Consider the following 18,912-nt stretch of genomic DNA (forward strand, 5'->3'; position numbering starts at 1 on the left):
ACTTAAGGAAACACAGAAAAATTTGGAATACACTTAATTTACACCTTCAGGGTACTTCTTAGGAAAAATTTCCAGGGAAGAATAATAGTATTACCAAACTATTTTTGTATTTGTCAGGTGCTATATTTTACTCTGCTACCAAGTAAAAGGACTGCTCACTCATTACAAAATAGCTTGTTTTTAGAGCTCCCAGTCACAATGATTTGAGTAAGGTGACTTTGCTTATGGGAAATAAACTATTTTATCAGGCTTATTTGAATGACATTTTGGTAACCTCTGTGTCACGATAATAGAATCATTAAGACAATACAATAAGCTACAAATACCTCATTTATATGAGGTACTTGACTTGAGTCAATACAATAACCTACAAATACCTCATTTGTATGAGGTACTCGATTGAGTACTTTAGGAGAATATTCACTGAATCAGTGTTATTCTTGAAAGGACGTAGATCTATTATTGTATCTTGTAAAATGTTCTTTTTTCCATCTTTCTCAGCCTGCTAAAGAGGTTATGATTTAGTTTCAGGACAGATGTGGAATTTGATACTAGGGGTATCAAATTAAAGATTTGACAAGCCTTTAATGACAAGATTAAAGGCTGTTGAACTTAGTTTCTCTCTTCTTCCTGTTCTAAATTTTTAATTGCTTTATCCTTTACTTTTCCATTTGAAGCTCATTGTGGTTAGTGCAGTAAAAGCAGTGGCCCTGGTGCTCAAGCATGTAATCCCAGCCCTTTGGGAGGCCGAGGTGGGAAGATTGCTTGAATCCAGGCGTTTGAGACCAGCCTGGGCAACATAGTGAGACCTCATCTCTTAAAAAAATATTTGCTGGATGTGGTGGCATGCACCTGTAGTCTCAGCTACTCGGGAGGCTGAGGTGGGAGGATCACTTGAGCCCAGCAGGCAGAAATTGCAGTAAGCCATGATTGTGCCTCTCACTTAAACCTGCACGACAGAGTGAGACTCTCCTCGGGGCTGGGCGGGGGAAGTGGGTCAGGACATAGAGGTCAAGAAGCATGTTCCTTTCGCCTGCTCAGAGTCTGGGAAGTATAGTATGATTAAGGACATGAGATTTGCCATTCAGATTGAGCTGTAGCTCTGCTACTTGGTAGAGGTATTTGTCATTGGCAAGTTACTTTCAGAGGTTTCATTTACTTAGCTGTAAAATTGTTTAAAGAATCTTATGTAGAGTTTTGTAATTATTGAAGTCATTGAATGCATGTAAAGTGCCTAGCTCAATGTCTTTCTTATAGTTATTGAATAAAAATATTAAGTGTTATTGTTAATGAAGATACTGGTAAAATATCCCATGTCAGATATGGTCCAACCTGGTTAACCAGATTGGAAGGTAGTTGGGAATTTTGGCACAGAGTCTTTAATGGATAAATGAGAGTGGGTATTTAGAAAGGCAGTAGAACATACTGCCTGGTGTCAAATACTGATTACTGCTTATTAACTCTTTGGCACTAGTAAGTTATTTCACTTTTGTTTCTGTTTTTTCACCTTAAAATGGTATTGATAATGATGCAGATTGAGTATCCCTAATCCAAAAATCTGAAATCTCAGATACTCCAAAGTTTGAAACTTTGAGTGCTGACGTGATGCTCAAAGGAAATGCTCATTGAACCAGTTTTTGGATTTTGGATTTTCAGATTAGGGATGCTGAACTGATGAGCAATGCAAATATTCTAAAATTTGAAAAAGCCCCAAATCCAACACGCTTCTGGTCCCAAGCATTTTGGATAAGTGATACACAACCTGTAGCATCTATCTCATGGTATTATAAAGGTTAACTAAGTCAATGCTTGTAAAATACTGGCACACAGAAGAATTTATAACTTACTGGCTGTCACTGTCATTATTTTTGATGCATAGTGGTATCAGTGCTAGAGGATTTGGGGATTCAAATTTTGAAAAATGCCCCCCAGGGGACATCTCTCAACGTCTGGAAGCATTTTTGGTTGCCACAGCTGGGGAGGAGGGATGCTAACTGGCTTCTAATGGGTAAAGGCCAGGGATGCTGCCAAGCATCCTTCAATGAACAAGGCACTCCTCACAATAAAGAATTATCCAACCCAAAATGTCAGTAGTGCCAAGATTGAGAATTCCTGTAGTACAGCTGTCTGGAGCTGTAGTTGCCAGCATCTGCAGCAACCTGTGCCTGATGCCTGCCTCTCATTTACTCTGTAGTCTCTTACTGGACTCAATAATCATTTTTCTCTTAACTTTTATCCCAGTACTCCCAATCACTATATTTGCAGGTAGCCTCTTCTCAGGCATTCTTGACTTCTTTGTAGTATAACATATTATCAACCCCTTTAAATATTAAAAGTTAAAATTAAATATTATATAATTTATGGTTCTTGTAGAAAAACTGATATACAAAGAAGAAAAATTTAAATGTTTCATAACCTTTCCCATCTAGAAATAAACACTGTTACAAAGTTGGTATATTCACTTTTATTATTACCCTCCCCTTGGCTTCCCAAAGAAAGAAAAGCTTATAAAATATACATTTTATTTTTTAAAAACTAAATTCTAAAGATATTTAGTAAAAAGCAAGTTTCCTTTTTTCTCTCACCTGCATTTCCAGTCCTGTCTCTAGAAATAAGCATTAAATTGGTGCAAGTCTTTTGGCATTTTTTTATACTTTTATATACACCAGGCATTCCTACGTCAATTTTTTTTGTGTGTGTAAACAGTACCATGCTATAAGTACTATTCTGTGAATGTGTTTTCCCTATCACTGAATATACTGTGTGTGTATATACACTGAATATTCCTGTCAGTATATTCTTAGCAATTATGTGGTATTCTGTAATATCTTTATCATGATTTATACAGTCAGCTATTAATGAAGATGGATGTTCGTAGTTACAAACAGTGCTTAGGTTCCTTGGATTTCTAGGCACACATATAAATGCTTCTGTAATGTACATTTCTGAAAGTGAAATCCTGGGTCAAAAGGCATGTAGATTTAAATTTTGATAGATTACCAAATTATTCTTCAGAAAAGCTGTAGCAGTTTACAGTTTCACCAAGAACCACCCCTGATGGTTGACTTACTTTCTTTAGGCTTATTTTAAGCATGAGTTTTTCTCCAAATACTTTAGTCAGATCTCTTAGATTTTTATGTGTAATACTCATTTTGTTTGTATTTGAGTAATTTTCACATAGGAAGAGTTAAGGAGAGATATCTAAGTAGGTGGATGGATTGTGTTATTTTTTATTAATTTTTAATTTCACTACAGAGAATTCAGAGAATATGATCTGTAGGTTCCAGCATTGATTTATTTTTCTGTGTAGCCTTACATAGGATTAGCTTATTTAAGTATTCCATAGGTTTCAAAAATGTGTTTATTCTCTGGGTAGAAATTTGTGTATATATATTTGACAATTAAGCATATTATTTAAATCATTTTTATTTTTTCAGCGCTTGATTTATCCATATCCAAAAGACCTATTAGTCTTTTAATGTGGAACTTGCTAACTTGCTGTTGTTTCCAAGTTTTTGCCTTAAGTATTTTTAACATTTTGTTATTTATATTCTTCTGTCATATCAAACTTCCATGTGTTTCTAATTTCCTTAAATGAATCACAGAAATAATACAACTACTTATTGAGCACTTAATGTGTACCAGGCACTGTGCTTAGATTTCACATATATTACCTAATTTAGTCCTCATAGTTCATACTCTTATACTAATTTGATATGTAAGAAAACAGAAAATGCAAGTATCTTGCTCACTGTAATTATAGAATTATAATAATGGAATTATACAGTATGTATTCTTTTTAGATTGGCTTCTTTCGCTCACCAGCGTACATTGGTCTCTGTCTTTTCATGGTTTGGGAGCTGATTTCTTTTTGGTGCTGAGTGATATTCCATTTTCTGGATATACCACAGTGTATTTATCCATTCAACTACTGAAGGACATTGTGGTTGCTTCCACGTCTTGGCAATTATAAATAAAGCTGCTGCAAATACCTGTGTGTAAGACTTTGTTTTTAACTTAGCTGGGTAAACATCAAGAAGGGCAATTGCTGGATCATTGCCTTGTGTCCTCACTGCTCTTAAAGATCAGATTTGTTCAGCTTTTTACTTCTTAGAATGGAGTGGCGACTTCCAAGCTCCTTATGTATGGAACCAGAAAAAGCAGACTGAGTTCTCAACTACTTTTTGGTACCCATTTTTTCTGCCTCCTTACCCTGAATGAGACTGGGCTCTTTGAGGATCATTTCCCCTGTGGCATATAGCTCAAGGGGGAGCTTTTGTTTCACCTTATGAGCCTCAAGGTGGGGAGATGGTCTTGGTTACTTTCCTTATTTCTCATCGAGGTTTGTGTTAAAGCTTTCTGTTTCTTTGGGATCTTCCAATTTATAAGGAAATAGAAATCACTTTAGTTCAGAATAAATTCTTCTAAAAGTTAAATATAAAGTTCTCAATTATAGGAAAAAATAATTAAGGTCTCTTTGATTTGGCTTTTCTAATTGAATTCGATTCTAGGGGAAGAAGTGTTTTGATTTTCCTCCTTCCTTGATTCTAAGATAAGATCTACTCTGAAACATATAATCAGATTTGATTTGAGGGAGGTAAATAGTACAGTCAATTACATTTTGATTATGAGACATTTGTTTTTAGAAATATTGGGGGGGCAAAATTGTGTCTTAGAATTGAGGAAATTGAACACTTATCAATCTGTTAAGAAAGATTTGCTTTGCCCAGAGCCAACTTAAAAAGAAAACTACAACTAACAGAAATAACTCAAGAATAAATGTGGAGTTGAGAACTAGAGAAACACATTACACAGGAGCAATGTTGAATTGGAATCAGAAATTATTTTTTTCTTGGCCAAATGATACCCTTTATTTGCAGTGTTTACTTTGATGGAGATCACCCAGTTAGTGTAGCTATGGTTCACATTGTAATTGGTCTTAAAAAAAAAGGAAACCTAATCATTTATCTTTAAATTGCAGTTTTCCCACACATTTGATAAGTTTTTAAACTTTCATAACCATGGGTAAAGTTTCTTGAAATACAAAACAGCTTGGTTTTAATGCCACTTGGGAATTGAATTAGAAAGCTTTGGTCCATAATTTCAGTGTTAAGTAGTCTAGGAATTGATGGAAGTTAATTTATTATTTATGTATCCCCTGATATGTTAAATATCTCATAGCTGAGTTCAGGGTATACAGCGTATTGCTTCACATAGTCAATGTTAAGAATTTAAAAGATAAAGAAAAAATCCAATGGGAAAAAGTATTATCTTAACTGAAAGTATAATTAGGTATTTGCTAATTTTTAAAGAGTATTAAAAAAGCAGAAACCATTTAGAAATTTGATAGTAGATAGTAGTATGAGGTGTACATACTGTTTAGAATAAAGGGAGAAACCTTCATCACTGTTTCCAAAAAGGAAAGTTACTCAAAAAAAGGGGGGTGGGGTGGTGGCAAATAGTCTAGTCCTTAACTAGGAAAACCATGAACCACTTTTATTTCTTTTTTTTTGGGACAGAGTCTTGCTCTGTCACCCTGGCTGGAGTGCAGTGGTGTCATCTCAGCTCACTGCAGCCTCTTCCTCCTGGTTCAGGCAGTTCTCTTGCTTCAGCCTCCTGAGTAGATGGGATTACCAGGCATGTGCCACCGGGACAGGGTAATGTTTTTGTATTTTTAATAGAGACAGGGTTTTGCCATGTTGCCCAGGCCTGTCTTGAACTCCTGAGCTGAAGTGATCCCTCCGCCTCGGCCTCCCAAAATTCTGAGATTACAGGCATTAGCCACCACGCCCAACCCCCACTTTTATTTCTGATTTTAGTAATTTGAGTCTCTCTCTTTTATTCTCAATCTAGTTTATGGTTTGTCAGTTTTGTTTATTCTTTTGAAGAACCAACAATTGGTTTTGCTGATTTCTGTTCTTTTTTTGAGACAGAGTCTAGCTCTGTCGCCAGGCTGGCGTGCAGTAGTGCGATCTTGGCTCACTGCAACCTCCGCCTCCCAGATTCAAGCAATTCTCCTGCCTAAGCCTCCTGAGTAGCTGGGATTACAGGCATGCCCTGCCACGCCCAACTAATTTTTGTATTTTTAGTAGAGACGTGGTTTCACATTGTTGGCCAGGATTATCTCAATCTCCTGACCTCATGATCTGCCCACCTCAGCTTCCCAAAGTGCTGGGATTACAGGCATGAGCCACCGCACCTGGCCGATTTCTATTCTTTTGGTTTTCTTTTTCTTTTTTTTTTTTTTTTGAGACAGAGTTTCGCTCTTGTTGCCCAGGCTGGAGTGCCAATGCACGATCTCGGCTCACTGCAACCTCCGCCTCCTGGGTTCAAGCGATTCTCCTGCCTCAGCCTCCCAAGTAGCTGAGATTACAGGCATGCGCCACCACACCCAGCTAATTTTGTATTTTTAGTAGAGACGGGGTTTTACCATGTTGGTCAGGCTGGTCTTGAACTCCTGACCTCAGGTGATCTACCCTCCTCAGCCTCCCAAAATGCTGGGATTACAGGCGTGAGCCACCACACCCTGCCGTTTCTATTCTTAAAATCTCTTTTATTTATCTCCGCTCTAATCTTTGTTTTTTCTTGTTTTTGCTAGCTTTGAGTTTAGTTTGCTCTTCTTTTTCTAGTTCCTTATGGTGTAAACATAGGTTGTTTTTTTAAAATCTTCATTTTTATATAAGTGTTTACAACTATAAATTTCCTTCTCAGCACTGCTTTTTCTGTATTCCGTAAGTTTCGGCATGTTGGGTTTTTATTTTTATTTTGTCTCAGGGTGTATTCTAATTTCCCTTGTGATTTCTTTGATTCATTGGTTGATAAGAATATGTTGTTAGATTTCCAAATATTTGTCAGTTTTCCTAGTTTCCCTCCATTACTGATTTTTAGTTTTGTTTTATTATAATGGGAAAAAATGCTTTGTTTGATTTCACTTCTTTAAAATTTATTAAGACTTGTTTCTTTTAGTCATTCCTGAAAAATGTTTTACATGTCCTTGAGAAAAGTGTGTAGACTGCTGTTGTTGGATGCAGTGTTTTGTCTATGTCTGTTAGCTTCAGTTGATTTACAGTTTTCTTCATATCCTGTATTTCCTTGTTTATTTTCCGTCTAGTTGTTCCGTCCGTTATTGAAACTGGAGTATTGAAGTCTCCAACTATTATTATAGAACTGTCTGTTTCTCCCATTAATTCTACCAATCTTTGCGTTACATAATTTAAAGTTCTGATGTTTGGTGTATGTTTTTAATTGTTACATCATCTTGGCAAAGTGACCCATTTATCAACATTTGAAGTCCTTTGTCTTTGATGATAGTTTTTGACTTGAGACTATTTTGTCTGATATTAGTGTGGCTTCTCTACCTTTCTGGTTACTATTTGCATGAAGTATCTTTTTCCAACCTTTTACTTTGAACCTATGTGTTTTCTTAGATCTACAATGTGTCTTTTACAGATACGCAGTTGGGTCATGTCATTTTATCTATTATGACATTCTGTGCCTTTAATTGGGAGAGTTTAATCAATTTACATATAAATACTTATAAGGAAGAACTAACTTGCCATTTTGTTTTCTGTATGTCTTTTAGCTGTTTTGTCCTTCATTTCTTCCATTACTGCCTTTGTTTGTGTTTACTTGATTTTTTGTAGTGACACAATTTGATTCCCTTCTCTTTTTTTTTTTGGTATATTTTATAGAAATTTTCTTTGGTTATTATAGGGATAATATATAATATCCTAAAGTTATTACAGTCTCAATTTTTTATACCAATCTAACTTAAATCACATTGAACAACTACACGTCCACTGCTCTGTCCCTCTTTTATGTTATTGATGTCGTAAATTACATTATTATACATTATGTACCTATTAACACAGATTCATGATTTTTTAATGCATTCGCCTTTAAAAACTCATAGAAAATATAAGGTGAACTTGCAAACCAAAATTATAATAATACTGGTTTTTATATTTGCCCTTGCATTTACCTTTACGGGATCTTTATATCTTTATATTGCTTTGAGTTACTGTCTAGAGTCCTTCTATTTCAACCTGAAGGACTACCTTCAGTATTTCTTGTAGTACATGTGTAGTGATAATGAACCTCCCTCAGGTTTTGTTTACTGGGGAATGTCTTTATTTCTACCTTGTTTTTAATGGTCAGTTTTGCCAGATACAGAAGTTGCATTTGACATTTATTTTCTTGTAGCACTTTAAATGTATCATTGCACTGCCTTCAGGCCTCCAAGGTTTCTGCCAAAAAGTTGGCTTATAGTCTTATTTGAGGATTCTGTCTATGCAGTGAGTTGCTTCTCTTTTGCCACTTTCAAGATTCTGTCTTGGCTTTTGACAGTTTGATTGTAATCGTGTTGGTATTGGTTGTGAGTTTTTCTTATTTGGAGTTTGTTGAGATCCTTGGATTTGTAGATTCATCAGTTACATCACCTTTGGGAAGTTTTTTCCTTCATGTAATCTCTGTTCATTTCTCTTCCTCTGAAACATCCATTGAGTATATATTGGTCCAATTGATTTATTTCATAATCTCTTGGGCTCTGTTTAATTTTCTTCTTTCTTTTTTCTTTCTGCTCAGATTTGATAATTTCTGTTGTCTTCAGATTTGCTGAGTTTTTTCTTTTGCCTACTCAGTTCTGCTATTGAACCTATATAGTGAAATTTTCAATTATTGTATTTTTCAGCTCTACAGTTTGTTTTTATAATTTCTCTTTATTGATATTCTCATTTTGCTCATTATTTTCCTGATTTCCCTTCACTTTTTTCTTTAGCTCTTTGGGCATAGTTCAGACAGCTGCTTTAAAGTCTGTCTAATAAATCTAATATCTGTATTTCTTCAGGAATGGTTTCTGGAAATTTTTGTTCCTTGGAATGGGCTATGTTTTCCTATACCTTGTTGCATGCCTTGTGATGTTTTTTGAAAACTGAGTATTTGAAAGAGTCACCTCTCTTCAGTTGCACACTGGCTGTGTACTACTGGGGCATTTCTCTGCTGATTAGTTGAGCATGCCCTTAACGTAGTGATCACCCTAAGGTGAAAGCTTAAGGTCTTCTTTTCTGAGCATTTGTGTTGCCTAGGCCTGTGGGTCGCTTTCTCAATTCCTCCTGTATGCATGGCTGCTTTTGAATGTCTTAATTTCCCAAAGAGTCTCACCTGGATACTCAGATGGTCTATTGTATCTACCCACTGTAATCTTATGCCCCAAACATCTATTGTGTCCCCTTGCAGCTTTCATAAATGGTGCCCATTGCTTCTCTCACCCAATGAGGTCCCAGTTAGGCAAAACAGGAATCAGTTCTTCTGGCAGACCAGAGAGGTTAAAATGTTACAAGTTAGGTCTGCACTCTTGCCGCTCATTTGAAGGGAATGAATTGGGAATTGGTTTGCTGCCTCCTTGAGACCCAGATAAACTGCAGAAGGGGTGGGACAAGATCACAGAAAAATGTCACAAAAGTTTTGCATATTTTTTTTCTTAATTGGGCATTTGCTTCATTCTGTAGACCTTTGTTTTTCACAGGTCCTGTAAGGTTAATTCAACTAATTTCTGGTTGTTTTTGGTGTTTCTGTGAGGGAATGAGGCTTTGAGCTTTTTAGTTTGCCGTTTTGCTGATGCCACTCAATAATACTTTTTAAATTATGAAAATAGCAGAATCATATTGAAGGAAGTTTACAGCACCCAGAAGTATAACAAACTAAGAAAAATCATCCGTATTGTACTATCCACAGAGTAGCCACTATTTACATTTTGGTGTGTTACCTTTCAGACTTCTATTTTTCTTCCTCTCTCTTTTCCCTTTGTCCTCTGTCATCTTGTTCCCCCACTCCTCACCACAAATAAAAAGGGGTAAAAAACTAAAAAAAACCTCTAAACACAATTTATTGAGTACAGTGTTAATTTTTTAATTAGCATACTTTTGTTTTTAATTTCCCAAAACATTATTGTATATACTAAAATTATCATTTATATTTCCAAAAAGAAATATTGTAGATATTTCTGATAACATCCAAATGCTTGGGTTTTATTCTAATCTTTCTGCTTTCAAGGTATAAGAGTTAAGAAAGAATCGAGTGTGGCCAACCCATGTTACTTTCCTGTGACTTAGACATTTTTGCATTTTTACATCTAGTAAAAATTGGCACGCTCTCAGTCAAAGGGGTAAGCCCAGACCACGTGGAAAGGATCTTACCTCTTTTGAGAGCTAATATAAAAAGAATTCCTCCTAGACATAAAAATATTGTGACATCAGTTACTTAGGCTAAGCATGCCTATTATTCTAAGTGAATTATTAACAATAAATACTTTAACTCTGTGCCGTGTTGTCATAATATGGTTTATAATTTATTTTAACCTTAGGTTATATATACCTTGAAGCCATTTATATTTTCATATACTTGTAATAGTTACTATATACTAGACTATGTATGTTAGACTAGACATGGAGAGTCAAAAAAGAGTACGTGATCAGAGTACAAATCATGCCCTAGCTTCCCTTCATGTCTACCTCCTACCTCGAGTAGAAGCAATATAAAAAGTAATTACCTAAGATTTTTTGGATTCTGGTTTGGGAGAAGCACCCTTATATTTAGGCTGATGGGTGGCTGAATTAGAAAGTATGTTTTGTGATTTAGAATTTTATACGGAGATGTTCATTGTGATTAATTCTTTGTATTAGCAGATTTTTGCTTTTTATAGTTGCATGATTTCTTGTTTTGATCATTCATTATTGTCTATTAGTAAAGAAAAACTTTATTTCACTCAAGCAGCGACATATAATCCAACTTGGATTTTTTAATAATGACATTTTTCTTTGGGAATAACATTACTGTTAAAAATGTAGATTATTAGATACATTACTTTTAATGAATATAAGTGGTATAATTAGAAGACTGAAAAGAATCCCTGGAAACATGAGTCTGATTTGATAGCTAAGCAACTGAGGACAAGATACTTATTCTCTGTAGCATATTTTCTAATGTCATTTCATTGTCTCACCAAGAAGTACTTGCATAAGGCAAGTTTGATTATAGCATCTGTTGAATATTTAAGATTGCGTAAAGTGGGTGAGTTTAACAGATATTTTCCCTTATTTCTTTTAGGTGAATCTGGATTGGGAAAGTCGACATTAATCAACTCATTATTCCTCACAGATTTGTATTCTCCAGAGTATCCAGGTCCTTCTCATAGAATTAAAAAGACTGTACAGGTATGGATATTAGTATTGTTAATTGATAAGCTGGAATAATATTAATACACACAAAGCACATGTTGTAACTTTTATTAGGCTTCCTTAGAGGTAAGATGCAAATTTGTCCTTAGCCAGTGTATGATGGTAAATATGACTTCATAAAATTTAAAAAAAAAAGTACAGTTCATCAGAAGAATTATCTTGGCTAGAACTTCCCAAATTTGTCTAGAGGACTCTCCTAGAGATGACACTGTGACATAGTAACCAATTCCCCTGGAGTTGTGCTATCTAGTATGGTAGTCATTTGCCACATGTTTAAATAAATTAAAATTAGTTAAATTAAAAATGCAATTTCTCATTTGCTCCAGATACATTTCAAGTGCTCAACAGCCCATGTGGCAAGTGGCTGCCATTTTTTGCAGCACGTATATGAAGATTTTCATCATTGCAGAAAATTGCATTAGATGGTGTAGAGAAAACGTGATTTATAGAAAAGCTATTGTGATTTAAATATAGTGTTCTATATTAGTCAGTGGGATAATACCATATCATAGTTGAATGGCAATAGCGATTCTGTAAGACTCCCAAGGTATATGTGATCTGATTTACTAGTTCTCAGTCTTTGCTATGCATTCCAATCCTCGGTATCCTGTTAAATTTAGTTCTTCTAGTAGGTCTGAGATGGGCTGCAATTTCTACATTTCTAACAAGATCACAGGTGATGCTGATGCTGCTGGATGGTAGATCACACTTTATAGAGCAAGGGGCTAGATTCTAGATATGTACTTTTTATTAAATAGTACAGCAGCCTGTAGCCACATGTGGCTATTAATCTTTGAAATGTAGGTGGTCTGAATTGTGATGTTCTGCAAATATAAAATATACCACAGATGTCTAAGACTGAGCATGGAAAAAAAAATCTCAATAATTTTTTATATTGATTGTATACTGCAGTGATAATATTTTGGATGTATCAGGTTAAATAAAATTGATTGATTTCACCTTTTTCCTATTTTAAAAGTGGCTAAGAAAATTATAAATTATATGATTGATATGGTATTTTTGTTTGTCAGCACTGCTCTAAACTGTTGATTAAAAATATTGTTGGTGAGCTCTGCTTATGTGATATATAGGACATGAGCAGAGAGGAGGCAAGTGAACAGTTCTGGCTGGAGTTGGCTTCATTCAGGCAGTGATGCTTTTAGCTGGATTTGAAGAAGTGGTAGTGATCATCCCAGTGCACAGGATGGAGGGACAGTCTGTATATTCTGGGCAGTAACTCATATATCAAACTATAAGATGCAGTTTAGTAACTAGATCCCAAAGGAGTAATTTTGTGAAGTGAATTTCTTATTTCTCCTTCTCAATGTTTCTATTTTAGGATTTTTTTTTTTTTTGGTAACCTTTATAGGGCTTGAGATTTAAAATTACCTGCAAAATTATGCTCTAAAAACTTGTTCCTACATGCTTATTTATTTTGTGATAAATATTGGAAATTTTAATCCTAAGCAAGAAAATGAACTTTGAACTTTCTTAATTTGGGTATCTATTAGGAATACCTTAATTTAGGTATTTATGAATTTAGATATGCAAGATAAAACTAACCACTACCCAAATTAATGTACAGTTCATTTCCAGAACCCTAGTTTCTTCTGTGTGCTCACTGTCATTCAGTATTACACCCCCCAAAGATACACACCTTAACTGACTGCTTTCTCCATAGATAAATTTGCCTGTTCTTGAATGTTACATACATATACTTTTTTATATCTGTTTTCTTTCAGTGAAGATTACGTCTGTATTATTTACTCATGTTGGGTGTAGTTCTTTTTCATCGTCATCGTATGCTACTCCATTGTGTGAATGTATCAGTATATCATTTATTGTTTATTTTAGATAAGCCTTTGGGTTTCAGTTTTTTACTAATAGGAACATTCTTGTGTATGTCTTGGTGGACTTAGGCACTCATTGCTGTTGTGTGTGCATAAAGATATAAAGGTATTTGAGTCTATTTTCTTTGATTTCTAGTGAGGTTGAACATGTCTTTTGTACTCATTAACTGTTATTTCATGAAAGTGTTTTGATAATATTTTCTGTCATTTTATTCCTGATTTATAGGAGTTTTAAAAATCTAACTAATAATCCCCTACATTTTAGATATTGCAGACATTTTCTCCCCAGGCAAGCATCTGTTAAAGATGTGACATGCCCTCAATTTATTAGAATTCTTACATTGGCCTAGCTTCAAAATAAATTGTCTAAACCCATTTTACCTTCCTTTAAAATAACACTTCAAAAATATCCTCTTCTGTTGTGAATATCTTCCCAGAAACTCTCTTTATCTTGAAAACAAAGGGGTAATGGAGGTAAGAATATCTCTAGGAGGATTTTTAAGACAGAAGCCTGTGCACCACTGTTAAATATCTTTTCTTTACCAAAAGGAAGACCTGTAACATTTGAGAACCAGATTGATCCTTACTAGAATCCTGTAGAAGTCCTCTTTCCTGATTGAACCATGGAGGTGTATTCTTTTATATACTGGAAACCAGTTGAAGATCATCTAAACTCTTTTGCCCACTTACTCAGGAAAGAACATGCCATATTACAGACAGGGTCAGAGTCATTCAAGAAGCCTGAATGTAGTTAGAAAATGAGAATGTAATCTTTTTGATAGTTGGCTGGCTCCTTACCAAGCCCAGTAGTCTAGCAGATGATCTGCCCTTGGAAGCTAATAAACTCTCACAGTAGAGGGGAGTGGTCACCAGTATTGTATCTCAGTCCAGACATATTAGACTGGTAAACATACAATCCTGAGTTTCAGAAGACAAACGTTTATGAAAATGGGGAGAAAAACTGTCTCCTATTATGTGGCTGAATAAGGAGCAAGATATTAATAAAGACCATGATCTCATATTCTCATCCCTGGGCATTATCTATTTATAAGAGACTTGTATCTTAAAGGAGATATTCATTCACATTCACAGTCTTGGAAGGAATGGGAAGCTGTGTACACTGAACAGAGAGCTGATTTTTAGCCTCCTGTGTGTAAAATAGCAGTTCTGATTCAAGTGAAGTTTTCAGTATTGATAGAAGCTCATTAAGATTAATTCTTAACCTCTTATCTTGGACCTCAGGACCCTGAGTTATATCTGTGCATTTCCAGATGCGAGCTGACACCAGTCCTGGAATTCTTTATACCAGTGCTTCTCAAACTTGAGCGCACATCACAATCACCTGGAAGGCTTGTCGAAACACAGATTGCTGAGTCCCTTTCTTCATGGTTTGCTATATAGCAGGTTTGAGGCAGGGCCCAACTAATTTGTATTTCTATTTAGTTCTCAGAATGTATTACTGCCAGTCTGGGTACTACATTTTGAGAACAACTGCTCTGCTGCAAACTGGTTTTATCCTGTGTCTGTCAGGGTGAAAGGAGGAGAGGGAAGTGTTTTACCTTAGTTCTTTCAGAATGTTTCAAGTGGAATGAAATGGTACCATGTTACCTCCATTTTTTACTTATATATATATTTTTCCAAAAGATTGATGAAAATGAAGTGAAAAAAATTGAACATTTGAGCTCTACTTCATGTTTCAGTATCAAATATAGATACCCAGATTAACAAAATTTTTTGGAAAAATATTGCTTACAATGTTGTATGTATGTTAACAGTTAACCGTTATTTTATAATTTTGTACCATTTGAAAATTTTTATATTTATTTATTTATTTTTGAGATGGAGCCCTGCTCTTTCACCCAGCTGGAGTATAGTGGCGCGATCTCGGTTCACTACAACCTCCACCTCCAAAGTTCAAGTGTTTCTCCTGCCTCAGCCTCCTGAGTACCTGGGATTATAGGCGTGTGCCACCACGCCTGGCTAATTTTTGTATTTTTAGTAGAGATGGGGTTTTGCCTTGTTGGCCAGGCTGGTCTCGAACTCCTGACCTCACGTGATCCGCCCGCCTCGGCCTCCCAAAGTGCCGGGATTACAGGCGTGAGCCACCACGCCTGGCCTGCATTTGAAAATTTTTAAATCATACTTCATGTCACTGAAAGGGTATCATCTGTCTTTTCTTGGGAAGAAATTATCCTTTCTTCTGAGATTGAAGTCCATTTTAATTTTCTCTTAATGTATTAAGATAATTCTTTTGTGCAATGACACTGTTAGATTTTTTAAAGTTCTTAGTTGGAAACTACGCTGCTCCCCTTTGAAACATTTTATTGGTCCATGAAGTGTTTTTTTTTTTTCTTTCCGAGATGGAGTCTTGCTCTGTTGCCCAGGCTGGAGTGCAGTGGTGTGATCTCAAGCTTACTGCAACCTCTGCTTCCTGGGCTCAAGCAATTCTCCTGCCTTAGCCTCCCGGGTAGCTGGGATTACAGGCGCGTACTACACCTGGCTAATTTTTGTATTTTTAGTAGAGATGGGGTTTCACCATGTTGGCCAGGCTGGTCTCGAACTCCCGACCTCAACTGATCCTTCCACCTCAGCCTCCGAAAGCGCTGGGATTACAGGTGTGAGCCACCGCACCCAGCTGGTCCCTGAAGTTTTGTAAATCAAACTCTGTAGATGAAGTGGGTGCAAAATTTTGAAAGTGAGAAAAGGTGAAAGCAGTATGTACTTCTCTGGGGTAACATACTTGATAGACTCCTTGAAAAATTTTCACAGAGCCCTATCAGGAGAGTCTCCTGTTGACAGCTGGTCCAGTTTTGATAGTTTTTGAGCCATTCACATAACATATTTGAATGCTTGTCTTAAACTAAGTTTTGGGGCTACAATGATGATAGACAAAAAGTTCTCAAAGATCTCACAATTGTGGGAAAAATATGGACAAACAATTATGACTTAGTGAGAAAGATGCTTTTGTAAGGTGCTGTAGAGGTGACCTTGGCAAGGTAAATTTTAATGAAGTGGTAGCAAGATGGCAGTGGGTTGAGAAGTGAGTGGTGAGTCAGTGAAGATGGGTGATGGCTATTAAGGAAGGGATGAAAAGGGATACCTAGGAGTGAGTATAGAGGACTCAGAGAGTGGTTTGATGATTTCCAAAAGAGACCTGAGAATGGTTATATCCTGTGGCAAGTCATTCTCTAAGAAATGAGAGATTGACGATAGAGGGGAAATAGTGTAAACGGTTGTCAAGATGAATCTAAAATGGAAATTAATCAGTTCCCTAGAACATATTGAGAAATTAGCTTTAGGAAAAAGATATATTTCACACACACTGTACCATGGAAGGTACAGTGCTGATTCAGACAGACTGGGAATGGTCTCATTTTTAAGTGGAGATATGAGGTACTTCACTGAGCATTGTGACAGACATGGGCTTGGGAAGAGCCTACTGGGAAATGGGAGAGGCATGAGACTAAGGAGCACATAAGAGGAATATTAGCAGGGAAATTCTTGTTGAGGTTGAAAGTCATGAATTTTATGGTATAGGAATAGAAAGATGGGTTAATCCAGAGTGGGATTTGAGTTGGAAAGGGAAAGAAATAAAGGTTTTGGGAAGGAGGTTGCTAATAGAAAATGAGAGGGGCAAGGGATTTGAGGTCTCAGTGTAAGGAGACAGGGATATGAGAGGTAGAGAGGTTCAGAATAGAAGGCCAAGTTAGAGTTTTGGGATCAACTTTCTTAGTAAAGTAGTTCTGGGTCTTGATGAGAAGGAGGTATTCTTTAAGCATAACTGTTTTACTATTGGTCACTTCCTCTTTCATTTTCTTGTGGAACACGATGAAACATGTAAGATGATATTTGTCTTTTGAGCCAGTAAATAAGCAAAATAGATAGTTTTTGTGTTTGAGCTAAGTGGAGTATCTCAGGCCATTCCAATGTCTTCAGAGTTTTGGCTGTAATGCTACCTCTTGAGCAAGTGAAGGTAGAGGTAGGCTCTTGACAGAAAATTTTAACCCTCTCTTCAAAATGTTATGTTCTTAATTAAATAACATTTTTTATTTACCTTAATAAGTGGCATGTAAACATTAAGTTAGGTTAGTTTATATGACACTGTATAATAAACATTGTTTGACTTTTTTTCCTCAGATGGTAAAACTGAAAACTCAGTATACTGGAACTCTTGTATACTGTATACACTCAGTATTAGAAAATGAGTACCTTGGATTTCTGGAATCTCAGATGCCAAAAGAGGTCTCAATAGATGAATTATACATAGATGATACATGGACGATAGCTTTAGTTTTATTTATTTTTCAGGGAAAAACAGTTGAAAATGCCCTTGATTCATTCTTTTGGTATTAAATGATGCAGCTAATCTTAGAGAACCCTGAGTGATGCCATAAAGATGTTGATGTGACCTGCTTAAGGAAAGTGCGTGGGAAAGTGGCCATTTGGAATAGATTTGTTAGAAAAGTTTGAAATTCTTGGACTTCAACTAATTTGTTTTCCATGGATCCCATGAGGATACTTGTAAAAGCAGATGATAGGATACAGTCGGATCCTGTGAATGGCACTAGTTTAGTTGTGTTTTCTGGATCTCTTCCATATGTCGCTGACTTCTTTGTATTTGACCGTGTATGGATACACAGAATTTTGTAGGCCAGAGAAGAAAAGAAGCTTTATAAACATTCCTTAAAGTGTGTAAAATACAAATCTTCATTTGTCTTAGCAAGTCAATAAGTAATTAAGTTGTTGAACTGATTTTTTTTAAAAAACAGGGAAATATCTTAAAATTTAAGCTGTTAAGTTAAAATGTGTAATTGGTATACAGCATATTACTGAAGGTAGAATGGGCTTCGTTTGGTAATAAAGGAACCAGAAATAGTTTGAAGTAAAATTGGGAGATGATTCATGTAGATTTACTATATTGTTGTATCACTTTCTAGTGTGTAGTACTATGTTATTTAAAAGAGTAAGTAGGTAAAGGAGTGGTATGATTACTTTGGATATTTCTGCTTCAGCCACAGTTACCATGAATAAATGATCTGTCTTTATAAAGGAGATGGAAGTGAATTCAAGATATTGAGATGTTAGATTTGACTGGGTTGTCCTTTGGCTAGAAGATCACCAGATAAAATGTAAACCTCCTAAACTAGATGAGATGATACCATTAAACATTTTTTTTGGCCCAGCACTTTGGGAGGCTGAAATGGGAAGATCGCTTGAACCCAGGAGTGAGGCTGCAGTAAGCTATAATCTGCCATGCACTCCAGCCTGAGCAACAGAGTGAGACCCTGACTAAAAAAAAAAAAAAAAAAAAATGTTTTTCCTTTGGTTCTCATGATCTCACACTGATGAATCTGATTGTTTTCTCTGAGTTATTTTGCCTCTCTCATGTTATTAGGGTAACCTGATAATAGACATGTTATCTTAGTTGTGTGGTATGTGACAGTGATCTCCTAAATGATGTGCATCAATCATTGATACTGAGGATGATCAGAAAATATTACAACTGTTATTGATGTTTACTTTTTTAATCTACAGATTAATGATAATGCATATTAATACTTAATATTCAGATTGCCAATAGTATATATTTGGTGGATAAATATCTTTTGGATCTGCAAAATTTTCACTTGATAGTTTATATCAGGATCAAAGCAGTTTAAAGAACATTAAAAGATAAGAATTTGGCATCTCATTTCTCTAAAAGATAAGTCATGTGTGTCCACATCTCAGGCAATTTTTTTCAGTTTTAATAAGTTTTATTCCTCATAATAAAATTTTTTTAACAGAAAACTCTTGATTGCTGTAGACCTCTGCTGTGTATTCGGTAG

The 18,912-nt window shown here is 35.7% G+C and overlaps 1 protein-coding gene across 11 annotated transcripts in view; it reads left to right on the forward strand.

The window, feature by feature from the left end:
- Nucleotides 1–18,912, forward strand: part of SEPTIN7 (septin 7) — a 114,778-nt gene that overhangs the window by 51,463 nt on the left and 44,403 nt on the right. For all 11 annotated transcript variants that reach the window (NM_001242956.1, XM_011515661.3, XM_011515656.3 and 8 more), the window contains one exon: nucleotides 11,104–11,210. In NM_001242956.1, the coding sequence (NP_001229885.1) occupies nucleotides 11,104–11,210 (107 nt within the window). The remainder of the gene's footprint in view (nucleotides 1–11,103; nucleotides 11,211–18,912) is intronic.

This window comes from Homo sapiens, chromosome 7, assembly GCF_000001405.40.
Source record: "Homo sapiens chromosome 7, GRCh38.p14 Primary Assembly".
NCBI lineage: Eukaryota > Metazoa > Chordata > Mammalia > Primates > Hominidae > Homo > Homo sapiens.